At 47.8% G+C, this 27,384-nt stretch overlaps 1 protein-coding gene across 8 annotated transcripts in view; it reads right to left on the bottom strand.

Annotated features, from left to right (window-relative positions):
- CCDC63 (coiled-coil domain containing 63) overlaps window positions 1-27,384 on the bottom strand; it is a 63,050-nt gene that overhangs the window by 17,242 nt on the left and 18,424 nt on the right. For all 8 annotated transcript variants that reach the window (XM_011538001.3, XM_011537999.2, XM_047428443.1 and 5 more), the window contains 4 exons: window positions 16,333-16,452; window positions 10,207-10,388; window positions 8,998-9,179; window positions 6,044-6,264 (listed from right to left, as the gene is read on the bottom strand). In XM_011538001.3, coding sequence (XP_011536303.1) covers window positions 6,044-6,264; window positions 8,998-9,179; window positions 10,207-10,388; window positions 16,333-16,452 — 705 coding nt within the window. The remainder of the gene's footprint in view (window positions 1-6,043; window positions 6,265-8,997; window positions 9,180-10,206; window positions 10,389-16,332; window positions 16,453-27,384) is intronic.

Below are 27,384 nucleotides of genomic sequence, written 5' to 3'. Positions count from 1 at the left end.
TCTTGCTCTCTTGCCCAGATGGAGTGCAGTGGTGCGATCTTGGCTCACTACAGCCTCGACCTCCCAGGCTCAAGCAATCCTCCCACTTCAGCCTTCTGAGTAGCTGGGACTAGAGGCACACACCATCACACCCAGCTAATTTCTTTTTGTGTCTTGTATTTTTTGTAGAGATGGGGTTTCGCCATGTTGCCCAGGCTGGTCTCAAACTCCTGGGCTCAAGTGATCCGCCCACCTCGGCCTCCCAAAGTGCTAAAAATTTTTAATTTTTAAAAAAGCAGAAAGAACTCTACCAAAAAGATGAAACAATGCTATGTCCGTGTGATGGAATTATTCCTGATTTGGAGGTTGTATTTATACTTTTTAGTATTTTCCAAATTGTGAAAAAAAATTCTAATCGGAAAAAAATATATGATTTTGGAAAAAGGAAAAAAGAAAGGAAGTGAGTCTTCCGATCTTTACAGGGCAGGGGTGGGGTGGGGGATCTCTACCAAAAAGATGAACCAATGCCATATCCAGGTGATGGGATTCACATTGAGACTTTTTACTATTTTGCAAATTGCATCAATAACCTGAGTCGATGGCACCGCTCCCCTGCTCGGAGATCTCCCATGGCCCCTGCCTCTCTGAGAAATGGCCAAAACCTCTTCTGGAAATGTGCCCAGCAGCCCTCACCTCCCAGATTCATCCCCTCTCCCTCCCATGTCTCTCTCTGTGCGCCAGACACCCTGGCCTGCTTGCAAGCTGCGTCAGGGCCTTTGCGTGTGCTGTTGCTGTTTCCTCTGCCTGGAGCGTTCTTCCCCAGAGATCTGGACAGCTCAATCCTTCACCTGTAAGTTCACTCAGATCTTAACTTCTCAACTGCCCGGGGCCCCAACCGGCTCCAAAACCCGTCTTACGCTGTGCGACTTCATCTTTTTACCCACACTGCATCTCCCTTTCTAACTTACTCTATAACTTACGTAAGTATTGGGCTTGTTGTTTATTGTCTGTTTCTCCCTGCCAAAACAGCAGTTCTGTGAGGGCTGAACTTTTTGTCATCCTGTTCACTGCCACATTATCAGGGTCTAGAGCAGTGTCTGGAACGCAGTAGGTGCTCAATAAATACTTGCTGGATGAACGAGTAACCAAAAGGACATTTGCTTCAATCAGATACACAACTTTATATGATAATAACTATGTTACATTTGAAAAGCACAACCATTGACACCAGCCTGGGCAACACACTGAAACCTCATCTCTGCAAAAAATACAAAAATTAGCTGGGTGTGGTGGTGTGTGCCTGTAGTCCCAGCCACTCTGGAGGCTGAGATGAGACGATCACCTGAGCCAGGGAGATTGAGGCTGGAGTGAGCCAAGATCAAGCCACTGTACTCCAGCCTGGGTGACAGTGTGAGATCCTGCAAAAAAAGAAGAAAGAAAAAGAAAGAAAAACGAAGGAAGGAAGGAAGGAAGGAAGGAAGGAAGGAAGGAAGGAAGGAAGGAAGGAAGGAAGGAAGGAAGGAAGGAAAGAAGGACCAAAAAAAAAGTTGGAAGTTGGAAGGAAATATTTCAGAATGTCACCAGTGATTGTCTCAGGCAATGGGATAGTGGGTGGTTTAAAATTCCTTCCATCCTTAGTTGCTTTCCAGATTCTCTACAGTGAGCATATCTTTGTCCTATAACATTTTTTGCAAAATTAAGTCTTACCATTGGAAATCAGTGCTCTCTGGACTTATTCAACAGGCATTTGCAGATCTATTTGAGCCCAAAAAGTCATAGTTCTGTAACCTTAACAAAGAGCTTGGAAGCTACTGTTCTGGTCCAAATATCACTCTACAGATGGGGAAACTGAGGCCCAGAGAGGGCAGCGCTTACCCATCTTAGACATATTTGTCATGACCCTAAGGAAGAGGGTCCCCTTATGAGGAGTGGGGAAAATCAAGGCCAATTCAGCTCAGGAATATTTTCTATCAGGTCAGGATATTCAGCTGGGGTCCTCATACCCCTCTGCTAGGGCTTGTCCTCCCTCGGTGTCCCACTGGGACCCGAGAATTCAGGGTCCTGCCCACTTCCAGGCCTGCCCGCAAAGACCTTCCCTGCAATACCGCAAATGGACGCCAGAGGACAGTGGTGACGCGCCTGAACCTCAGTTAGCAACTCAAAGGCCCGCTAAGCTCTGCGGGCCCTGGAGCACTTCAGCCTGGCTGGTCTCTGTGAGCGAAGAGGGAGCCGATGGCTCCGTTTGTAGGAACTCGGATTCCCGCGGGAATGTGGGCGGGAGGTGTCAGATCTGATTTTCCAAGGGAAACCAGAAATTCAGACTTTCATGTGGAATATCCTGGTTTTTAAATCACTGCCACTAAGAATTTAACAACTTGGGGAGGTGGAGGAGACCAAACGAAACTAAAAAAGAAGGCTGGGGCCGGGCGCGGTGGCTCACGCTGTATTCCCAGCATTTTGGGAGGCCGAAGTGGGCGGATCACGAGGTCAAGAGATGAGACCATCCTGGCCAACATGGTGAAACCCCGTCTCTACTAAAAATACAAAAATTAGCTGGGCGTGGTGGCGCGCGCCTGTAGTCCCAGCAACTCAGGAGGCTAGTTTATGAGACTCCGCCCCCAGCCCTCTAGGGAGGGGTGAAGTCAGATGTTAGAATTCTAATTGTTTTTAATTAAAAAAAAATTTTTTTAACCTGATCCCTTAGTCTGAGCAAAGGTGCCAGAAGAAGGCAAAAAGGTAGGGTCCCAGCCCCCTCCCATGGCCCATCCCACCGCCACTCCTTCATCCAGGTCTGCTCCATTTCCTATGTTTTATGTACCAGTGTTTCCTCATAACATGGGATTAAACAAAAACATTTTGTATAAGAATAGAGCTTGCAGAGCAAGCCACCACCGGGCGTGGTGGCTCATCCCTGTAATCCCAACACTTTGGGAGGCCGAGGCAGGCGGATCACCTGAGTTCAGGCGTTCGAGACCATCCTGGCCAACATGATGAAACCTTGTCTCTACTAAAAATACAAAAATTAGCCAGGTGTGGTGGCTCTGCCTGTAGTCCCAGCTACTCTGGAGCCTGGGCAGGAGAATCGCTTGAACCCGGGAGGTGGAGGTTGCAGTAAGCCAAGATCGTGCCACTACAGTCCAGCCTGGGTGACAGAGCAAGACTCTGTCTCAAAAAAAGAAAAAAAGAAAGAAAATTTAAAAAAAAAGTTTTGTAGCTTTTTAAATAAAAGTTTGAAACTTTTTTTATAAAAAGAGTTTGGACTTGGAGGACTCCTCTAGTCCAAGTGTGTGTGCCATTCTACAGATAGAGAGACTGAGAACCAGAGCACCTGCACTTGTCCTTGTGCAGGAGATGCTGTGCGACTGCAGGAGGAAAGGATGAGAGCAGCCTCAAGGTGAATGTGAGGTCAAGGTCATTTCTGGGGAAGAACCATTTCCTGTGCCTGTCCTGGACCCTTGTCCAGGAAGACCTCCTTCCGGGAGGGGGACAGAGAGTGGCATGAGGGTCCTTCAAGTCTGTCTTCCCCACCCCCGGGTGCACCTCCCACCCCACACCTCCCCATGCCCTGCCTGGGACCTGCAGGGCTTGCACCAATGGGCTTCCTTGTGCTTGGCTGCTGAGTAGCCCAGCCAGTGGGAGGCACAAGTGGGAGATAAAGGGTGGGAGGAGAGGGAGGTTGGGGTATTTGCCACCCCCTGGGCCCGTCCCTAATTTGGCTGCACCCCTCCAGGAAGGGCATAGCAGGCAGCCATATCCTCATTCCTCCCTCCCCTGACCCATTTCTGGAGCTCTGGCTACTCCCGCATGCTCCCTTCTTAATTTCCTTAGATGTCTGGAAACAGTCCCTTTTTAAAAACTCTCCTCAATTTACCCATTTTATTTTTGGGTTTTGGTGGTTTTTTGGGGTGGGTTTTTTTTTGGTTTTTTTTGAGACGAAGTCTCCCTGTATCACCCAGGCTGGAGTGCAGTGGCGCCATCTCGGCTCACTGCAACCTCCACCTCCCGGGTTCAAAGGATTCTCCTGCCTCAGTCTCCCAAGTAGTGGGATTGCAGGTGCAGGCCACTATGCCCAGCTCATTTTTGTATTTTTAGTAAAGACAGGGTTTCACTATGTTGCCTAGGCTGGTCTCGAACTCCTGAGCTCAGGTGATCCACCCGCCTCGGCCTCCCAAAGTGCTGCGATTACAGGTGTGAGCCACTGTGCCTGGCCAATTTACCCATGTTGGCTGTGCTGTTTCCTGTGACAACCCTAATTGATAAAGTCACCTTCACTCCATTTTTTGCAGCCACATGGACTGTTATTATCTATAATAGTTTTCTGTAAACCAAGCCATTATGTTTATTATTCTTTGTTTACTGTTATTATTACTTACTACCCTAAGTAAATATCCATTAAATCACAAGTTTGCTCTGCAAGCTCTATTATTCCTTTAAAAATTAATTCATCACTAGTAAATGAAAATGTTTTCACCTATATTCTAGCTGCAATCTGTTTGCACATGGCCAGCGTGCATGCCCCACATTTGGGAAACAGTGACATATTGCAAAGGAAAGCAGCTCCCCTCATCATGTAAGCAGAGGACAGGGCCTGCAGAAGAAGGACTAATGAATTCCCAGAGGAGGCGACATTTGTGCAGGGTCAGGACTAATGAGCAGGATTTCATCAGAAGAGAAAAGGAGGGGAGGGAGAGGGAATAGCACGGGAAGGCAGTGGCGGAGGGAAATGCATGGGACAGCTGGGGCTGGCAGCAGCAGAGGGTGTCTTGGAGGTCATAACAGGACCTGTGTCTGCAAAGGCAGGTAGAAGCCAAATTTTGAAGGGGCTGGAATGTCACACTAAAGGGTTTAGACTCTATTCCATGCAGACAGTTCCAAAGGATGTTTATTTATGTACTGGTGTGTAAATAGCCCAGGAAGCCAATGACATTTGGGAAATTATGGGTTCAACAAAGGTAGACAGGCTTCTTTACTGCAGGACTTGTCAGGGCCTGTGCATCAAGTCTCGCCAAGATGAGAATGAGTTCTCACTCCTCGAAACTGTTGATTAACAAGGGTCAGGTAAGGGGCCAAATAAGAAATACTTTCAGCTTTGCAGGTCCCTCTTGCATATTTCTCTCTCTCTCTTTTTTTTTTTTCTTCTTACAATCCTTTAAAAATGTAAAAATCATTCTTAGCTCATGGGCTACACAGAAATAGCCATGGACTGTAGTTTACTGAATGCTGGTTAATAAAACATGCCATGGATTATAAAGTCACTATTGGGTTGGGGGACATGAATACATGAAATGTATCTATACATTGAAAGACAATTACAGGCCAGGTGTGGTGGCTCACATCTATATAATCCCAGCACTTTGGGAGGCTGAGGCAGGTGGATCACTTGAGGCCAGGAGTTTGAGACAAGCCTGGCCAACATGATGAAACCCCATCTCTACTAAAAATACAAAAAAAAAAAAAAAAAATAGCAGGGCGTCGTGGCGGGCACCTGTAGTCCCAGCTACTCCAGAGGCTGAGGCAGGAGAATCTCTTGAACCGGGGAGGTGGAGGTTGCAGTGAACCAAGATCATGCCACTGCACTCCAGCCTGGATGACAGAGCAAGACTCCGTCTCAAAAAAAATACAAATAAAAAGTAAGGGGACACTGGGTGCAACGTTTCACACTTGTAATCTCAGTACTTTGGGAGTCCAAGGTGGGAGGATTGCTTGAGGTCAGGAGTTCGAGACCAGCCTTGCATGGCAAAATCCCAACTCTACAAAAAATACAAAAATTAGCCAGGCATGGTGGTGCACACCTGTAGTCCAAGCTACTCAGGAGGCTGAGATGCAAGGATCATTTCAGCCTGGGAGGTTGAGACTGCAGTGAGCCAATATCGCACTACTACTGCACTCCAGCCTGGGTGACAGAGTAAGATCCTGTCTCAAACATAAAATGTAAGGGGAATAGAGCGGTGTTGGCCAAACTGCTTTCTGTAGTGCCTCTCACAGAGCCTTCCTAGGAGACTGCCCTGGAAAGGCTGCTGTGGACACAGGGGCCCAGGGCCTGGGAAAGCAGAGCCGCCCTGACCTGGATTCGTTGGGTCCTCTTGTGCATCATCTCCATGTCGTTGTTGAGCTCCGTGACATACGTGAACCGAGCAAAATTCTTCTCCTCCTTGGCCAGAAAATCTTCAATGAGCTGGTTTAGGTTCCCACTCTCAGCCAGCTTCAGCAGCCGGAGGTGGGCCACCTCATAGCTCTCAAAACTCTCTCCCCTGTTCTTCTTGACATGCTTCTTTGCCTTGAGAGCTAGGAAAGGAAAAATCAGCCACTGTGACACTCAAAAGGAAGCTCCTCAGATCCGTGCCAGGCAGACAGTAACGTGATCAATATTATTGTGGCCAGGCATGGTGACTCACGCCTGTAATCCCAACACTTTGGGAAGCCGAGGCAGGCAGATCACCTGAGGTCAGGAGTTCGAGACCAGCCTAGCCAACATGGCGAAACCCCGTCTCTACTAAAAATGCAAAAATTAGCCAGGTGTGGTGGCACATGCCTGCAATCCCAGCTACATGGGAGGCTAAGCCAGGAGAATTGCTTGAACCTGGGAGGCAGAGGTTGCAGTGAGCCAAGTTTGCGCCACTGCACTCCAGCCTGGGCGATGGAGCAAGACTCCATCTCAAAAAACAAACAAACAAACAAGCAAACAAAAAACAAACAAACAAACAAAAAAATATATATATAGTAGTATGCTTTAGGGATGAGGCTAGATGTTTCCAGGAGATAGAGCAGAAGCTTCACCCATCATTCATTTCACAAATATCTCAAGAAGCATTTACTATGAGTCACACACTGTGCTAGGCACTGCTGATACAAAATCCCTGCCCTGGCCGGGCATGGTAGCTCACACCTGTAATCCCAGCACAGGGGTTGAGCCCTGGAGTTCAAGACCAGCATGGACAACATAGCAAGACCCCACCTCTACAAAAAATTTTTAAAATTAGGCCGGGTGCAGTGGCTCCCGCCTGTAATCCCAGCACTTTGGGAGGCCAAGGCAGGTGGATCACGAGGTCAAGAGACTGAGACCATCCTGGCCAACATGGTGAAACCCCGTCTCTTCTAAAAATACAAAAATTAGCTGGGTGTGGTGGCATGTGCCTGTAGTCCCAGCTACTCAGGAGGCTGAGGCAGGAGAATCACTTGAACCCAGGAGGTGGAGGTTGCAGTGAGCCGAGATTGCGCCACTGCACTCCAGCCTGGGTGACAGAGCAAGACTCCGTCTTAAAAAAAAAAAAAAAAAAATTTAAAATTAGCCAAGTGTCGTGTTGAATGCCTGTGGTCCTAGCTACTCGGGAGGGCAAAGTGGGAGGATGGCTTGGGCCTAAGAGGTCAAGGCTGAAGTGAGCTGTGACTGTCACACCACTGCACTCCAGCCTGGGAGAAAGAACTAGACCCTGTTTCTTAAAAATAAATAAATAAATAAATAAAAGGATCGTTTAGGCACACCTGACCATGTGACCTTTTTACAGGTTGTGGCTCCCCACTGTTCTGGGGAGGCTCAGGCGATCCTCCCACCTCAGACTCCCCAGTAGCTGAGACCACAGGCAAGTGCCACCATGCCCAGCAGTTTATCCCAAACACCTGCTTTTCCTCTGAGTGTCTAGAATTTTGGTATGTGCTAGGCAGAGGGTGTCTACACGACCAGCCCCCAGTAAGAATTTGGGGTACTGAATCTCTAGTATACCCCACTATGAGATAACCTTTTTTTTTTTAAGAGACAGGGTCTCACTCTGTCACCCAGGCTGGAGTGGCGCAATCATAGCTTGCTGCAGCCTCAAACTCCTGGACTTAGGATCTGCTTTTTTCTACCCCTCAGCACCTTGTCACCATCAGACCTTCTGAGATCAAGCCATCCTCCCATCTCAGTCTCCAGAGTAGCTGGGACCACAGGCATGTACCACTATGCCCAACTAATTTTTTTTTATTCATTGTAGAGATGGGGTCTTGCTCATTTGCCCAGGCCAGTCTCAAACTCCTGGCCTCAAGTGATCCTCCCGCCTTGGCCTCCCAAAGCACTGAGATTACAGGCATGAGCCACCATGCCCAGCCTAGTAGATAACTCTTGACATGATGTGTGGTCACAGATCCTGAAAGAACCATGTGTGCTCAGTGTGACTGTACTTGGAAGCTTGCGCCCAGTTTCCTCCAGACGCCGGACCACACACCTTCTCCCTGTGCTGATCTTGCTTGGTGCCTTTTCACTGTAATGCATCACAGCCATGAATGTGCCTCAGTGCTGAGTCCTGCGAGATATGCTAGTGAATCATCAAACCTAGAGATGAACCTGGGGACCCCTGACAATAAGTCTCCTTCTAAATAATAGAAAGAGAGTCCCAGATGAAGACACATGCTGTAAATTAGGGTTGGCAGATAAAATAGAGGGTTCTCAGTTAAATTTGAATTTCAGACAAATATATTTTTAAGTATAAATATGTCCCAATTATAGATAAACAAAAAAGTTTTATCATAAGTATGTCCCAAATGCTGCATGAGACATAGTTATCCTAAACATTTATTTATTGTTTATTTGATATTTAAATTTAACTAGGCATTTTTTTTTTGAGAGTCTTATTCTGTTGCCCAGGCTGGAGTGCAGTGGCATGATCTTGGCTCATTGCAACCTCTGCCTCCTGGGTTCAAGTGATTCTCCTGCCTCAGCTTCCCAAGTAGCTGGGATTACAGGCACTCACCACTATGTCCAGCTAATTTTTTTGTATTTTTAGTAGAGACGGGGTTTCACCATGTTGGTCAGGCTGTTCTCAAATTCCTGACCTCAAATGATCAGCCTGCCTTGGCCTCCCAAAGTGCTGGGATTACAGGCGTGAGCCACCATGCACAACCTTAACTAGGCATCTTATATCTTTATTTGCTAAATTTGACAACCACAAGGAGACTTGGGCACCTTCACTTAAAAAGAGAGAAAGAGAGAAAGAAGGCAAGAAAGAGAGTGAGAGAGCACAAGCTTGCTCCTGGAGGGTGTACCTTCCTCCCTTTTGGCCTGCTCCTCGAATTCATTGCGATCATTCAGCTTGACGAGCAGGAAGGACTTGAGCTTGCTCTCATGGGCATAGAGACGCTCCAGCTCTCGGATCTCCAGGTTGTACTGAGAGGTGTCCTTCTTCTGGCGGTCTTTCATGGCAGCCATTCGAGCCATGGCCTCCACCCTGGGCAAAGGGAGTACAGAGCCTGAGCATCTGAGGCTCCTCCTCTCTACTTCCCTTTCCCTGCCAGTCCAGAAGGCCTTCCTGCCTAGAGAATGACTATCACTTTTATTTATCATAAAGGTTTCTCGGTGTGTAAAAACAATCCTCCTTACCTGAACAACAGGAGCTGTAAGCTCTAGATCACTCCCAGAAATGATTTTCCATCATTATCATCATCATTGCCTTCAGCATCACCATCATCATCATCACCACCACCACCATTACCACTATCACCATCACCATTATCACCATCACTACCATCACCATCATCATTGTCACCATCATCATCACCACCATCATCATTATCACCACTATCATCACCACCATCACCATCACCACCCCATCACTATAACCATCATCACCATCACCATATCACCATCATTACCATCATTATCGTCACCACCATCATCACCACTTATCAATTACTGTGTCCCAGGCACTACTTTACATTTATATATTATTTAATCCTCTTTACCATCTAAAGAGCTCCTACAACAATACAGTAGTGATGAAACCAGGATTTAAACCCAGATCTGACTCTGAAGGCTACGCCCTTCACAGCCAAACTATATGCCTTTTGCTCCTATGAGTGTGAAGCCAGCAGAGACCCAGATTGAGAAAGATCCCCTTGGACTAGAGGCAGGGGCACTTGGAGGAGATGGTACAGCACAGAGGTTTGAATCTCAACTTCACCACAATCACCACTTACCTGGATCTCAGGTAGGCATTTTAGCATCTCTAAGCCTGCACATTCCAGTCTGTAAAATGGGGATAATAATTCCTAGGGCAGTTGTGAGAGTTAAAACAATACCCACCAGAGTACCTAGCATCATGCCTGGCACACAGTCAGTGCTCAGAATTATTACTACTATGATTTAAGATTCCCCAACACATAACGACCAGGGACAGTGGTGGCCCAGAGTAGGAAGCTAGATGCTCAGCAAGGGGCTAAGAGACCTCGCTGCCCCTGGACCTATCCCCAGCCCACCTCTGCTCATAGGCCTGAGAAGATTGCTCAATGGCCAAGTTCATGGTTTTCTTCTCCATCAACAGGCAGTGCTGGAGCTGCTGGTAGACATTGTCATAAGCAGCCTTCTCAAATCGTAGGTCTTCAATCTCCTTCCGGAGCTTGGCATTAGTGGTCAGCATCTTGTCAAAGTGAACAGTGACCTGTTGAAAGGGCCATGCTTCAAAACAGGTCTCATTTCTGTTTTGTAAGATAAGCTACCAGAAGGCACCTGGAAGGCTGTCAGGTCTTTGCCCCACCTCATACGCAAGGGCCATGGAGGAGTGGTTGGAGCAGTAGGCAAGAGGCTCAACTGGTTGGAGCCAGTTGAGTGGCCCACCAACTGGCTAAGGGCCCTTTAGTGGATCCTTTTTACTACTGTATTTCAAATTCCTCAACTACTTTTAGACCTAAGTTCCAGCTGTAGGCAATTAACAGAGGAGTGGGGAACAAGCTAAATGACAGCATAGGAAATAATCAGCCAAACTGAGAAGATATTAATAGAACTTTCTACAGGACAATTGACTTGGACTTTTCAACAAATTGACAGCATGAAAAAAAAATTGGGTGGGGCTGTTTTCATGCAGGGTTTCTCAAACTCAGCACTACTGGCATTTTGGGCTGGATGATTCTTTGCTATAGGGGGCTGTCCTATGCTTTGTGGGATATTAAATACCCACTACATGCAGGTAGCACCCTCACCTCCAACTCTGTTATGACAACCAACAGTGTCTCCTTTTGGGGACAACGTCCCTTTGGAGGCAAAATCACCCTCAATTGAGAGCCACTGTTCTAGATTAAAGAAATTTAAGAGACCTAACAATTATGTGAACCTTGACTGGATCTACCTTTAAAAGACATTTTAGGGCCAACCAGGTACGTGTTAATATGGACTAGGTATTGTGTAATATTATGGAAATATTATTCATTTTGTAGGGTGTAATACTGGTCTTATGACTGTGAAAGAAAAAGTTTAATTTTAAAATATGCAAACTGAAGTATTTAGGGGTGAAATGTCGTGACACTTGTAATTCACCTTTAAATACTTCAGGGGAAAAATGGTGAAGCAAATAAAGCAAATGTTAACAGTTATTAAATCAAAGTGATAGATTTGCTCATTATTTTATTCCCTCTACTTTCCTGTATGTCTTATAAATTGTCTTAGCTTTTTTAAAAGTTGTTTTTTAAAGGCGATGTGATTGGTTACACTGTTCATGGGAATGTAGATTGGTGCAGCCATTATGGAATAAAAGGATGAAGGTTTCTAAAGAAGTTAAAAATAGAACTACCATATGACCCAGCAATCCCTCTCCTGGGCATACACCCAAAGGAAATAAAATCACCACCTCGTAAGGGCATCTGCAGTCTCACATTCACTGCAGCATTATTCACAACAGCCAAGATTTGGAAACAACCTAAGTATTCACTGACAGATGAATGGATGAAGAAAGTGGGGGCTGGGCACAGTGGCTCACACCTGTAATCCCAGCACTTTGGGAGGCCAAGGCGGGTGGATCACCTGAGGTCAGGAGTTCAAGACCAGCCTGGCCAACATGGTGAAACCCCGTCTCAACTAAAAATACAAAAATTAGCCAGGCATGATGGCAGGTGTCTGTAATCCCAGCTACTCAGGAGGCTGAGGCAAGAGAATCATTTGAACCTGGGAGGCAGAGGTTTCAGTGAGCCGAGATCACGCCACTGCACTCCAGCCTGGGCAACAGAGTGAGACTTTGTTTCAAAAACAAGAAATTGGGGTGTGTGAGTGTGTATATATATGCACATACTTATATGTGTGTATATATGTATGTGTATATGTATGTATACATGTGTGTATACATATATGCATATAGGTATATATATGTATGTATATGTGGATACATATGTGTGTGTGTGCATATATATACACAATAAAATATTACTGAGCCTTAAAAAAGGAGACTCTGCCATTTGCCACAACATGGATGAAACTGGAGGACATTACGCTAAGTGAAATAAGCCAGACGCAGAATGAAAAATATTGCATGATCTCATTTATATGTGGACTCTAAACAAAAAAAAGTCAAGGCTGGGCGCAGTGGCTCATGCCTGTAATCCCAGCACTTTGGGAGGCTGAGGCGGGTGGATCACCTGAGATCAGGAGTTCGAGACCAGTCTGGCCAACATGGTGAAACCCCATCTCTACTAAAAATACAAAAATTAGCCAGGCATGTTGGTGGGCACCTGTAATCCCCAGCTACTTGGTAGGCTGAGTCAGGAGAATCGCTTGAACCTGGGAGGCAGAGGTTGAAGTGAGCCGAGATTACGCCACTGCACCCTAGCCTGGGTGACAGCATGAGACTCAGTCTCAAAAAAAAAAAAAAAGAAAGAAAGAAAGTCAAATATACAGAGATAGAGAATAAAACAGTGGTTACCAGGGCAGAGGGGGTGAGGGGGAAAGGGAGCAGGGAGATGGAGGTCAGAGGATAGCAAGTAGCAGATATGGAGAATGAGCAAGTCTAGAGCCCTAAGGTACAACATCAGGACTCCAGGGACTCTAATTGTACTGTATTTGGGGCTAGGCGCAGTGGCTCATGCCTGTAATCACAACACTTCGGGAGGCCAAGATGGGTGGATCACCTGAGTGAGGTCAGGCGTTTGAGACCAGCCTGACCAACATGGTGAAACCCTGTCTCTACTAAAAATACAAAAAATTAGCTGGGTGTGGTGGCGCACACCTGTAGTCCCAGCTACTCGGGAGGCTGAGGCAGGAGGATTGCTTGAACCTGGGAGGTGAAGGTTGTAGTGAGCCAAGATCGTGCCATTGCACTCCAGCCTGGGGGACAGAGCCAGACTCCGTCTCAAAAAAAAAAAAAAAAATTGTACTGTATTTGGGATTCCTGCTAATGTGCAGATTTTAGAGGTTCTTGTCACAAAAACAAAAATGGGTAACTATGTGAGATAACAGATATGTTAACTTGCTTCACTATTGTAACCACTTTAATATCTACATGTATCAAATAATATATTATATACCTTAAATATACACAGTAGAATTTATTTTTTATTTTTATGAAACAGGGTCTCGCTCTGTCAACCAGGCTGGAATAAAATGGTGCAATCACAGGCTCAAGTGATCCTCCCACCTCAGCCTACCGAGCAGCTAGGACTACAGGTGCAGGCCACAACACTCAGCTATTTTTTTTTTTTTTTTGTATTTTTAGTAGAGACAGAGTTTCACCATGTTGCCCAGGCTGGTCTCAAACTCCTGGCCTCAAATGATCCTCCCACCTCAGCCTCCCAAAGTGCTTGGATTATAGATGTGAGCCACCACATCTGGTTTATTTTTTTTTAATAAAATTATTTTTTAAGTTTTTTTAAAAGACCACGTAAAGTGCTCCCATAAGCACTGAAAAGAGACAACTACAAAAAAATATTCCTAACAGCAAGGGGATTTAATTTCACTGGAGGTTTTCAAAGTATGTTCTAAGAAACATTCGGTTTCTGCAGGGCCAACACTGGGGTAAAGCAAGTGAAGCAACCGGGGCATGAAATGTAAGGAGGCACTCACTCTCAGGTGCCAGCCCTGTGTTTCCACAAGCCTGAGCAGAAGAGCCTCCTAAAATGTTGCATCCTGGGCTTTTTGCTTGCTTCTGCTAGTCTGAGCTCTGGGTGTTCCTGAGTGTCTCCATAGCCACCACACAAGGTAGGGGAGTCCCTGGGAGCAGAGCATTCTTATTCTATCTTTGCATCCTCCACTTCCTCTTGGGAAGTTATCAGTTACCACTCATTTGCTCCTTACTGTGAATTTTGCTCCAGGACCGTAGCATACTATCTATCCTCTGATTGTGGGGGGGAAAGACCTGACCTATGGGGAGGACTCTCAGGCCCCACTGAGTAGGTGGAGGATATTTAGGACCATGGGGTACTCTGAGACCCCAAAATTGCCTTTAGAGATGGCTGCCTAACCTTTTTTTTTTTTTTTTTTGAGACAGGTTCTCACTCTGTCATCCAGACTGGAGTACAGTGGCACAATCTCGGCTCACTGCAAACTCCGCCTCCTAGATTCAAGCAATTCTCCTGCCTCAGCCTCCAAAATAGCTGGGATTACAGGCATGCATCACCATGCCTGGCTAATTTTTATTTTTATTTTTTTGTATTTTTAGTAGAGGCAGGGTTTCACCATGGTGGCCAGGCTGACCTCAAACTCCTGACCTCAAGTGATCCACACACCCTGGCCTCCCAAAGTGCTGGGATTACAGGCGTGAGCCACCGCGCCAGGTCAGCTGCTTAACCTATTAAAAGGCACAATCACATCTCGTTAGGGATGAAGGGAAGAGGGGACCAGTTTGAGATACAAAAAACAGACCTCTCAGAAATATAAAAAGGAGCATTACTACAGATCTTATGGAAAAAGTATAAGGGATATACTAGGAACAACTATATACCAACAGATTAGCATAATTTAGATGAAATAGACCAATTCCTAGAAAGACATAAACTACTGAAATTGACTCGAGAAGAATAGAACATCTGAATAGACTTAGAACAAAAAAGCAGACCTCTGAGGCTGCAGTGAGCCACGATCGTGCCACTGCACTCCAGCCTAGGTGACAGAGTGAGACTCCGTCTCAAAAAAAAAAAAAATTATACCTATAGACAAGTCATCATTAAATCATGCATGCATTTAGTAACTCATTCAATCAACAGACATTTGCTGAGGCATTAAACACCATGCCAGGCATTAAATCTATGATTCTTAACCAATGGGACCTTCAGTCTCTCTGGGTTTGCTAATAACGGTGCAGATGCCCAAATCTAAGCCCTGGAGGTTCTGATTTGGTGAATCTGGAGGAAATCCAAAAATCTGTATTTTTAACCCATATCCTAGGAATTCTGAGGCACAGTTGCAAATCACTGGGCATGGATATTAAAAAGACACTGCCCAGTCCTTCAGCAGCAACTTGGGGAGGCAGACAGAGATCAGATCCAATTAGCTCCCACCATGCCTGCTCAAAGCCTGGTGGTCAAAGTCTGGGGGAAGCTAAGAGCTTTGTTTAGTGAAGGAATGACAGGCTTTCTTCCAAATCCATTCACTTTCTCTCTCTAGTAGCTCATGTGGGAGCTACAGTTTCACAAACCAGACTGGAATGTGTGGTTTGTCCCTGTCCATCATTCCTTCTCCACTCTTTTTGCTTTTCCAGGGGAACCACCTCTCCTCTAATCCACTTATTTTGAATAGGGCTGCCCTTCCCTGACTTGGGGTAGCAGTGGGTGGGTTTGGAGGAGAGGGGCCCCAGGGTAGCCATGTGACTCAGGCCCATGTATTTCATTCTTCTGACCACCCACCCTGATTGGTTCAGAAATGGGCACATGACCCAAGCTGGCCCAGTGGGAACTCTCCCCAGAATACGTCATTAAACTCTTAGGAAAAAGATGTTTCATTTCTACTAGCATTCGTTCACACTGGGGGCTACCCAAAAATGAAATCCACTCAGAGGAGAGGTGGACAGAGAATATGTCCTAAAGACATGTATGGAGCACCTGGATCCAGCTATGCCTGAAGGCCCCACTTCCTCCTCTGGATCTTTCAATTCTATGACTAACACATTCCCCTTTTTTTCTTAAGCCAGATTGCAATTTAAGGAACCCTGCTTAATGCAAAAGTCACTGTAGATTGAGGATGATCAGTGTCACCTTTCCCATTATCAAGTTATGCATATCTATGCCTACTCATTCTCAGAGACAACACCGACAACAAAAAGGCACTGGCTATGATAGAGGCATGAGCAGCTTGTCACAGAGGAGGAAGGTCTAACTAATGCTGCTTTGGTAATGGGTAATGCTTGAGCTGCTTCTTGAAAACCAACAGGAAGTTTGGAGGCAGAGAACTAAGAGTAGGCATCCCAGATAGGTTGGGGGATTCGGGTAAGGGTTTGAGGGGATAACCGCATTTGCTAAGGTGGACAGTAAATCCTAAAGGCTTCCTGGCCTGTGTGGCCATTAGTTCACCTGCTCCTGAGTCAACCAGGGAAATGGGTATGTTCTGCTAATGGCTGGGCAGACATCATTTTTGTTCTGAGCAAACGTGGGCAGAGCTGTTTGCAGAGCTGCAGAGAACACTTTACATACGAGATTCAAACGGGTTTCCAAAATGTGAATCTGTTTCTGCAGTTTCCGGGGGTTATTGGCCTCCTGCATTTTTGCGAAAATCTGTTTTTGGTTTGCGATTTTTTTTTCCATCTGAAGAATCTGAAAAAGAGAGAGAGAGAGAAATTCCAGCTGTGTTAGCATCTGTATGGGTACCCGTTCTACAGTTCACTAACTGAAGTGTGCTCAGATAGCATCTGTATGGGTACCAGCTCTACAGTTCACTAACTGAAGTGTGCTCAGACAAAAACTGCAATGTTCTTTCTTTTCCTATAAATGGAATTTTAACTTATCTGTTGGATGCCTCCTCAGTTAGACTTAATCTTAGCCAGTTCGGGGTACAATAAAGCAGTCTGGAGATTTGCTGTCACCTGTGCATGTAAATGTCACTCACCTGTGACATTTATACACAATGACATACATTCTGCCTACCCAAAGCCATGGTTTCCAGCAGAAATGACATCGTCCTCCCAGGGGACTTCTGTAAACTTGGAGAAGTGATTTTTTGGCTCTTGCAATGATGAAGCCACTAGTGGCATGTAATGGGTGGGTCACGAGAGGTCACATACCCTGCAACATGTGAGATAGCACCAGGCATCCAAGACTTCTCCTCCATCCTTGTGACTTCCCAGTGGCCCCCTGGATGTTACGTAGATGAGAGACCTCTTTATACTTTTATTTTCTTTTGAAACTTTCTTTTTGTTTTTTGAGACAGGGTCTCACTCTGTCGCCCAGGCTGGAGTGCTGTGGCGCGATCTTGGCTCACCACAACCTCCTCCTTCCAGGTTCAAGCGATTCTCCTACCTTAGCGTCTCGAGTAACTGGAACTAAAGGCATGCACCGCCATGCCTGTCTAATTTTTTTGTATTTTTAGTACAGATGGGGTTTCGCCATGTTGGCCAGCCTGGTTTCGAACTCCTGGCCTCAAGTGATCCACCCGCCTCAGCATCCCAAAGTGCTGGGATTACAGGCATGAGCCACCATGCCCAGCTCCTTTTCCACATCTGATCAAAAAAGATAGTTTGATTCTAGGTACAGAAAATTTGGCCAGCATTTTGGGAGGCCAAGGTGGGAGTATCACTTGAGACCAGGAATTTGAGACCAGCCTGGACAACAAAGTGAGACCCCTATCTCTACAGAAAAATCTAAAAATAGTCAGGCTTGGTGGCATGCACCTATAGTTTCAGCTACTTGAGAGGCTGAGGCAGGAGGATAACTTGAGCCTAGGAGGTCGAAGCTGCAGTGAGCCATGATTGCATCACTGCACTCCAGCCTGAACAGAGCAAGACCCTATCTTAAAAAAACAAACAAACAAAAACACAACTATCTTTTCTATGTACACACACAGAATTTTCCATTCAATTCTAATAGACACTGAATTATCCGGGACTGTAGTCACTGTATCAATCAAGAGAAGATTATTCTTCGATTTGTTTGGAACTTTACGAGAGTTGGTCACCATTCTGAAAATCACGTCACCAGCACAGCCTGAATCATGTTCTTCGAGTTGTGGATACAGTCAGCCTGCATCTGTCTGCAGTATGTGTAATGCTTGGCAATTCTGCCTATCAATACAGGCCTCTCACTGCAGTTTTTAGGCCAGGGGTCTGCAAACTCCAGCCCTTGGTCAAATCTGGCCCACTACCTGTTTTTGTCAATAAAGTTTTATTGAAATCCAGCCATGCCCATTCATTTATGTATTGTCTATGGCTGCCCTCAAGCTACAAAGGCAGAGCTAAGGACTTGCAACAGAGACCACGTGGTCCACAAGGCCAAAATATTCACTATCTGGTTCCCTGCAGACACAGTTTGCTGGCCCTGTTCTAGGTAAGTCAGATGAGGACATTCACGTATCAAAATAAATATCATTCTAGTACAAATAACTTTTATTTCTTCCTTATATTATAATTAAGGCATCATATTGATTTTAAAACATCAGTAAAGGGAAAATATTCTATCATTTATGGATTTCATTTCAGGATTGTAAAGGGATAATTATTTGCTGTTGAAAAAGGGTGTTGGCAGACATAATGTTGAATGAAGAAAGCCAGTTATAAAGTGCATATCCTGGAAGAGGTGATTTAGATGCAATTCTATATGCAGACAAAACAAAGTTATGATGCTGGAGATCAGGATGAGGTTCCTTGGGGGTGGTTTGTGGAAAGAGACCAAGGAAGCCTTCCAGACACTGCAATAATCTACCTCTTGATCTTGGTGATGATTACGAGTGTATACCTAAGTATCAGTTCATTGAGCTGTATCCTTAAGACGCGTGCACCTCATCATGTGTAATTAACAACTCAGTGGAAGGAGATCGCACCACTGCACTCCAGTCTTGCTCTGGTGACAGAGCAAGTCTCTGTCTCAAAAAAAAAAAAAGGAAGGAAGGAAGGGAGGGAGGGAGGAAGGAAGGAAAGATAGAGAGAAGGAAAGAAAGAAAGGAAGGAAGGAAGGAAGGAGTGTTATGGTTTTTGGGAGTGATAAGTTTAAGAACCACTGTCCTGGCTGGGCGCAGTGGCTCACGCCTGTAATCCCAGCACTTTGGGAGTCCGAGGCAGGTGGATCATGAGGTCAGGAGATCAAGACCATCCTAGCTAACACGGTGAAACCCTGTCTCTACTAAAAATACAAAAAAATAGCCAGGCGTGGTGGCGGGCGCCAGTAGTCCCAGCTACTTGGGAGGCTGAGGCAGGAGAATGGCATGAACCCGGGAGGCGGAGCTTGCAGTGAGCCAAGATTGCACCACTGCACTCCAGCCTGGGCAACAGAGCAAGACTCTGTCTCAAAAAAAATAAAAATAAAAATAACCACTGTCCTAAAGGGATCCACAAATGGGCTGTGTATTTAGGAGGTCCTTTCCTGCTTGGAAGTTTGGTATTCACAGATTCAAAGTCTCTGGATGGAAACTGAGGCAAAGCCACTGGGCTTAGAGAAGTCGAGGTCCTTAGTGACCCCAAAGAAAGCAGTTTCAGTGGAGGTGACTTCTTCCCATCACCAGGGACGGAGGTGGAAATAACATCTGCCCAAGAAAGGGAAGCAGGGAATGTAGACAAGTCCTTCTAGAAACTTCTAGAAAGGGGGAAGCTGGCAGTAATTTGGGATTGCAGGTGGGTTGTGTTTTGAGTTTCGTTTGTGCTCAGTTATTAGGTTATTTTGAAATAAAAGAGGCAAGGGAGGGATACCTTGACAAAATAGAAGGTGAAGATGAGAGCAACCAGGGCGGTCATTGATGGAGAGAGGTCTTTCTCTAATAATGGGGGATGTGACTGAAGGAAGGTAACACAGGATGGGGTCTGGCCTCATAGAAGGGCAATGGGACATCTCTCCCTCTGAGGCAATGCAGATGGAGCAGAGGATGGAGGGATGCATCCTCTTGGGGTGCAGGGAAAGGCATGGCTGCCACAATCTTTTAAAGCAGATGAAACAACACTGAGGCCACCTATGTCCAGAGACTTTTTGCTAAGTGAAACGTAAATAACCTAAATGCAAATTGGTGCCCTGGATTAGATCCTGGGACAGTAAAAGGACATGAATGGAAAACACTAGTGAAATCCTAATAAAGGACTGGGTGCTGTGCCTCATGCCTGTAATCCCAACACATTGGGAGGCCCAGGCTGGTGGATCACCAGAGGTCAGGAGTTTGAGACCAGCCTGGCCAACATGGTGAAACCCCGTCTCTACTAGAAATACAAAAATTAGCCAGGCATGGTGGTGGGCGCCTGTAATTCCGCTACTTGGGAGGTTGAGGAAAGAGAATTGCTTGATCCTGGGAGGTAGAGGTTGCAGTGAGCCGAGATCATGCCATTGCACTCCAGCCTGGGCGACAAGAGCAAAACTCCATCTCAAAAAAAGAAGCTCCAATAAAAACTGGAGTTCAGTTAATAGTAACATATCAACATTCATTGCTTAGTTTTGACAAATGTCCCACGGTAATGTACAATGTTTACATTGGGGGAACCGGGTGAAGGATATGTGAGAACTATATTATCTTTGTAACCATTCCGTAAATTTTAAAGTATGCCAAAATAAAAAGCTTATTAAAAATAATTGATAAATAAATGTCCTTTTGGTCAAAGCCTCTCTTGGTTGGGTATTATGTTACTTGCAGCCAAAAGCATTCCTGACACACCATCCACTTTACTCATTAGGATAATTGACTCTGACTTCAAATAAGTGAAATCTACACTGCCATGGCTGGCAGGAAAAAATGTTAGTGTCTCTCTATACCCTCGTAATGCCAGCCCAGTTCTCCAGACCCAAACACTCCCAGCCAGTGTCCCGGAAACTTCACTCCATAGTTTCTCATATGAGGCATTCCAACACACTGCTAGCAGTGTGCATAACCAGCCCACAATGCAGCCTTAGCCCACACCCAAATATCTTCATTATCAATATTTAACCCCATCTAGAAGCAGACGGCTAATGCTAAGTCCCAGAAGGCCTTAGAGAAGTTTCAGAACTAGTATCTGAAGAAGAGTGCCCTTCAAGACTAGTAAGTACCAGATCCTAAGCACAACAGAGGCACATTCTCTTCTTAGAGGCTGGGCTGAGACTAAGCTCTGAGATGTCTTTTTGGAACCCTGGTAGGTAAAGGCAACAGGGAATGAAGAGGACAATGACATTCAAAGCAACTTGGTTTGTTCCTGTTTGTGTCGAGATGGTGGCTTGATGAGGATAGTCTAAAGCTCAGTTCCTGTTCTGGAATTGAGAAGTTCTAGATGAGGAAGGCTTAAGTGCTCAGTGTTGTGAAATATAAAGTTTGTCAGCCTCCAGCTGGGAATCAGGGGCCCCGTGCAGAGCCTGGGCTGGTGAATTCTGCAAGCAGTTGCATCTGGGATTCCGTGTTAGCATCCCTGAGTTTTAATTCCCTTTGGTTATCCCCAAGTCTTCAGAAAGTCTACACAGCACAGTCTCAGCTATCTTCATGGGAAGCTGAGAGAAAAATCTACACTAGTGGGCTGCAAAAAGTGGGCAGGAGGGTGGCATACAAAAGTAAAGTGGTCCAGCAAATAGACATGACAGGATGGCAGAGATGATAGCAAACTAGAATGTGTGCACCCTATCTTAAGGGGCACCAGCTTGTTATCAGTTAAGAAAAAATGTAAGTTACAGAAAGCCCAACTAAAGAGTGGCTTAAGCTCTCCCTCTCCCTCTCCCTCTCCCTCTCCCTCTCCCTCCCCCTCCCCCTTCCCCTCCCCCTCTCCCTCTCCCTCCCTCTCCCTCTCCCTCTCCCCACGGTCTCCCTCTCATGCGGAGCCGAAGCTGGACTGTACTGCTGCCATCTCGGCTCACTGCAACCTCCCTGCATGATTCTCCTGCCTCAGTCTGCCGAATGCCTGCGATTGCAGGCACGCGCCGCCACACCTGACTGGTTTTGGTGGAGACGGGGTTTCGCTGTGTTGGCCGGGCCGGTCTCCAGCCCCTAACCGCGAGTGATCCGCCAACCTCGGCCTCCCGAGGTGCCGGGATTGCAGACGGAGTCTCGTTCACTCAGTGCTCAATGGTGCCCAGACTGGAGTGCAGTGGCGTGATCTCGGCTCGCTACAACCTACACCTCCCAGCCGCCTGCCTTGGCCTCCCAAAGTGCCGAGATTGCAGCCTCTGCCCAGCCGCCACCCCGTCTGGGAAGTGAGGAGCGTCTCTGCCTGGCTGCCCATCGTCTGGGATGTGAGGAGCCCCTCTGCCTGGCTGCCCAGTCTGGAAAGTGAGGAGCGTCTCCGCCCGGCCGCCATCCCATCTAGGAAGTGAGGAGCGCCTCTTCCCAGCCGCCATCACATCTAGGAAGTGAGGAGCGTCTCTGCCCGGCCGCCCATCGTCTGAAATGTGGGGAGCGCCTCTGCCCCGCCGCCCCATCTGGGATGTGAGGAGCACCTCTGCCCGGCCGAGACCCCGTCTGGGAGGTGAGGAGCGTCTCTGCCCGGCCGCCCCGTCTGAGAAGTGAGGAGACCCTCTGCCTGGCAACCGCCCCGTCTGAGAAGTGAGGAGCCCCTCCGCCCGGCAGCTGCCCCGTCTGAGAAGTGAGGAGCCTCTCCGCCTGGCAGCCACCCCATCTGGGAAGTGAGGAGCGTCTCCACCTGGCAGCCACCCCGTCCGGGAGGTGAGGGGCGCCTCTGCCCGGCCGCCCCTACTGGGAAGTGAGGAGCCCCTCAGCCCGGCCAGCCACCCCGTCCGGGAGGGAGATGGGGGGGTCAGCCCCCCGCCTGGCCAGCCGCCCTGTCCGGGAGGGAGGTGGGGGGGTCAGCCCTCCGCCCGGCCAGCCGCCCCGTCTGGGAGGTGAGGGGCGCCTCTGCCCGGCCGCCCCTACTGGGAAGTGAGGAGCCCCTCTGCCCGGCCAGCCGCCCCGTCTGGGAGGGAGGTGGGGGGGTCAGCCCCCCGCCCGGCCAGCCGCCCCGTCCGGGAGGGAGGTGGGGGGGTCAGCCCCCCGCCCGGCCAGCCGCCCCATCCCGGAGGTGAGGGGCGCCTCTGCCCGGCCGCCCCTACTGGGAAGTGAGGAGCCCCTCAGCCCGGCCAGCCACCCCGTCCGGGAGGGAGATGGGGGGGTCAGCCCCCCGCCCGGCCAGCCGCCCTGTCCGGGAGGGAGGTGGGGGGGTCAGCCCTCCACCCGGCCAGCCGCCCCGTCTGGGAGGTGAGGGGCGCCTCTGCCCGGCCGCCCCTACTGGGAAGTGAGGAGCCCCTCTGCCCGGCCAGCCGCCCCGTCCGGGAGGGAGGTGGGGGGGTCGGCCCCCCGCCCGGCCAGCCGCCCCGTCCGGGAGGGAGGTGGGGGTGTCAGCCCCCCGCCCGGCCAGCCGCCCCCTCCGGGAGGGAGGTGGGGGGGGTCAGCCCCCCTGCCCGGCCAGCCGCCCCGTCTGGGAGGTGAGGGGTGCCTCTGCCCGGCCGCCCCTACTGGGAGGTGAGGAGCCCCTCTGCCCGGCCAGCCGCCCCGTCCGGGAGGGAGGTGGGGGGGTCAGCCCCCCGCCCGGCCAGCCGCCCCGTCCGGGAGGGAGGTGGGGGGGTCAGCCCCCCGCCCGGCCAGCCGCCCCGTCCCGGAGGTGAGGGGCGCCTCTGCCCGGCCGCCCCTACTGGGAAGTGAGGAGCCCCTCTGCCCGGCCACCACCCCGTCTGGGAGGTGTGCCCAACAGCTCATTGAGAACGGGCCAGGATGACAATGGCGGCTTTGTGGAATAGAAAGGCGGGAAAGGTGGGGAAAAGATTGAGAAATCGGATGGTTGCCGTGTCTGTGTAGAAAGAAGTAGACATGGGAGACTTTTCATTTTGTTCTGCACTAAGAAAAATTCCTCTGCCTTGGGATACTGTTGATCTGTGACCTTACCCCCAACCCTGTGCTCCCTGAAACATGTGCTGTGTCCACTCAGGGTTAAATGGATTAAGGGCGGTGCAAGATGTGCTTTGTTAAACAGATGCTTGAAGGCAGCATGCTCGTTAAGAGTCATCACCAATCCCTAATCTCAAGTAATCAGGGACACAAACACTGCGGAAGGCCGCAGGGTCCTCTGCCTAGGAAAACCAGAGACCTTTGTTCACTTGTTTATCTGCTGACCTTCCCTCCACTATGGTCCCATGACCCTGCCAAATCCCCCTCTGTGAGAAACACCCAAGAATTATCAATAAAAAAATAAATTAAAAAAAAAAAAAAAGAGTGGCTTAAGCAAATTACGGTTTATCTTTTTCTCATAAAAAGTTGCTGCTGCCTGTAACCCCAGCACTTTGGGAGGCCGAGGCAGGTGGATCACCTGAGGTCAGACGTTCAAGACAAGCCTGGCCAACACAGTAAAACCCCATCTCTACTAAAAATACAAAAATTAGCTGAGCATGGTGGTGCACATCTGTAATCCCAGCTACTTGGCAGGCTGAGGCATGAGAATTGCTTGAACCTGGGAGGCAGAGGTTGCAATAAGCTGAGGATGCACCACTACACTCCAGCCTGGGTGACAGAGGGAGACTCTGTCTCACATATACAAAAAAAGAAAAAAGTTGCTGAGCTAAGTTCCATAGCTCAAAGAAGTAAGGACAAGATCTCTGTAATTCACCTGACAGTTCCCTTATTGTTAAAAGATGACTGCCATTGCACCGACCTTCACGGTCTTATTCCAGGGAGGAAAGTAGAAGATGCAATACGTTTGAAGAGGTAGGTCATCTATCTGGAAAGCAAGACTTTCCCAGAAACCCCAACAGACTTCCTCTTAAAACTCACTGTCCACCCTTAGCTGCAAGGGAAGATGGGAGGAGCATTTTAGCTGGGCACAAGACCAGCTTGAACAAAGTCAGAAATCTGTTAGAGAAGAAAAAGTAGAGAATAGGGGAACAGTTGTGTCACCCGCAACACTATTTAGTTAACGGTTGTTCTATGAAAATTCATGCCTGATATCCCAGATCTTTCGGTTTCTAAAGCCAGAACTCTTATTTCTTTATGAAATCTCACAATTTTTTTTCTTTTTTCTTTGTCTCTTCTTTTTCTTTTTTCTTTTTTTTTTTTTTTTTTGGTATATGCTGAACATCTATCAATTATTAATATGTTGTCAACTAATGAAATCTTAAACAATAAATGGGCCACAGCCTTCCTGTCACCAGGCTTAATCCATCCTGAGATCTACCAGTTTGAGATCCTTGGTCTACATCCACATTTAGAGTCATGGAGCCACAGCGCTCTGATGAAAGATGGATTTTAGGCAGCAAGAAGTGCCCAGTGGAAGACAGAAGAGTGACCCAGAGCCAGAGAGCTGGCAGAGGTGGCACCCAGGACTGTGGTAGACACAGTGGCTGGTGGCTCCCCACATCCATTCCTCCCATATCCAAGGCCACCGTGAGAAACCCCCTCTGCCTGTGATGTATTGATTCCAGAGTAAGCAGGACTAAACCAGCTGGGGCCTCTCTATTGGGAAGGGATGTCTGCTAAGGAAACTTCTAGAAAAAGTCTTCTCATTCCTAAAAGAGTTATTGGAGGACAGGGTACATCTCCTGAAGGTAGTGTCAGTCTGGGTGTGGTGCCTGGAATTGCTGCTCCCATCTTGCCCCAGCCAAAGGATAACACCCAACATAGCTGACAGCAAAATTGAGCTGCTAAACCAACCAGCCCTGAAGTTTGCCTTACCTTTGCACTTCCTGTCATATGAGACAAAACATTTCCTTATTACCAGTCATCTATCAGGGAAGGTGGTCTCCACCCCAGCTCCAGGGGATAGAGCATCACTGGTCTAAGCCGAGTGGAAAACATTTTATTTTCTCTTTTTTTTTTTTTTGAGATGGAGTCTCACTCTGTTGCCCAGGCTGGAGTACAGTGGCGTGATCTTGGCTCACTGCAACCCCTGCCCTCCCAGGTTCAAGTGATTCTCCTGCCTCAGCCTCCCAAGTAGCTGGGATCACAGGCATGCACCACCATATGCAGAGATGGGGTTTTTACCATGTTGGCCAGGCTGGTCTGTTCGGAACTCCTGACCTCAGGTGATCCTCCCACCGCAGCCTCCCAAAGTGCTGGGATTACAGGCATGAGTCACGGCGCCCAGTCTCTTTTTTTTTTTTTTTTAAGACAGGGTCTCGCTATGTTGCCCAGGCTGGTCTCAAACTCCTGGGCTCAAAGATCTTCCTGCTTCAGCCTCCCCAGTAACTTGACCACAGGCAACTGTGTAGGACTCAGAAAACTTTTCTTAAAGGGCCAGATGGTAAATATTTTAAGCTCCACGGACTAAGAGGTTATAACCAGGTACTCATACAATCATTTAAAAGTCAAAGCCATTCTTTGCTGGAAGACTATAAACAGATAGGCTGGATTTGGCCCTTGGCCTGTAATTTGCTACCCCTGGTCTACTCAAAGCCAGTTCTGGAAATTCTACTTCCCTTTGTCAGTGATTGACATTGAAATGGGCATATATGCCAGCCATGGCTGATGAGGGGAAATCTGCCAGAGGGATTTTGTGAAATACTCTCTCCCATCTCATCTTCATGTCTTTGAATGTGGTTCTGTGAGGATGAATGTGGCTATGGCAGAAGCTGATGCCAGCTGATGACTGCTTTGGCAGTCACCTTGTGACCATGAGGAGCAGACCAGTAAAGAAGGTCAGAGAGAAAAAGACAAACCATCATTGCAGAGATGCTAAACCATCCCTGGAGGTTGGACATGGTGGCTCACGCCTGTAATCCCTGCACTTTAGGAGGCTGAGGTGGGCAGATCACTTGAGGTCAGGAGTTCAATACTAGCCTGGCTAACATGGTGAAACCCCATCTCTACTAAAAATACAAAAATTAGCCAGGCATGGTGGCACATGTCTGTAATCCCAACTACTAGGGAGGCTGAGGCAGGAGAACTGCTTGAACCCGAGAGGCAAAGGTTGCAGTGAGCCGAGATTGTGCCACTGCACTCCAGCCTGGGCAACGGAGCAAGATTCTGTCTCAAAAAAAAAAAAAAAAATCCCTGGGACAGCCTATTTCCAGTCAGATATTTTGTTATGTGATAACAACATAATAACAACAAACCTCTACCCTCTCAATTAATACCTCTTGAGAATTCTGTTACTTGCAGTCCAACCTTTCCTCACTGGTACATCATGCGAGTGGCAGCTCGGATGATCAGGTGTCAAGGGAACTGTTGGGTTTCACATAAACTGATGAGGCATATGAATGCTATTACAATGGATACTAGCTGTGGTTTGGACTTCAGCTGGAACACACACACACACACACACACACGTGTGTGTCACTCAAAGCGAGACTAAAGGGCTTCACCTGCCCCGACACACACAGTGGAGTCAGGCCCCCGCTCTACTTTGGTGTCCCTTCTGTTCCGTGCACAGGCAGCGCCCCCAGTGCAAACCCTCACTAACTCACCAATGAAATAAAACAAATAGCTGGGCCTCAGTGCAAACCCTCACTAACTCACCAATGAAATAAAACAAACAGCTGGACGCCGTGGTTCATGCCTGTAATCCCAACACTTTGGGAGGCCAAGGTGGGTGGATCACCTGAGGTCAGGGGTTCGAGACCAGCCTGGCCAACATGGTGAAACTCCATATCTACTAAAAATACAAAAATTAACCAGGCATG

Source organism: Homo sapiens, chromosome 12 (genome assembly GCF_000001405.40).
Source record: "Homo sapiens chromosome 12, GRCh38.p14 Primary Assembly".
Classification (NCBI taxonomy): Eukaryota; Metazoa; Chordata; class Mammalia; order Primates; family Hominidae; genus Homo; species Homo sapiens.
The sequence above is the reverse complement of the archived record's forward strand: the minus strand, read 5'-3'. Positions and strand labels throughout refer to the sequence as shown.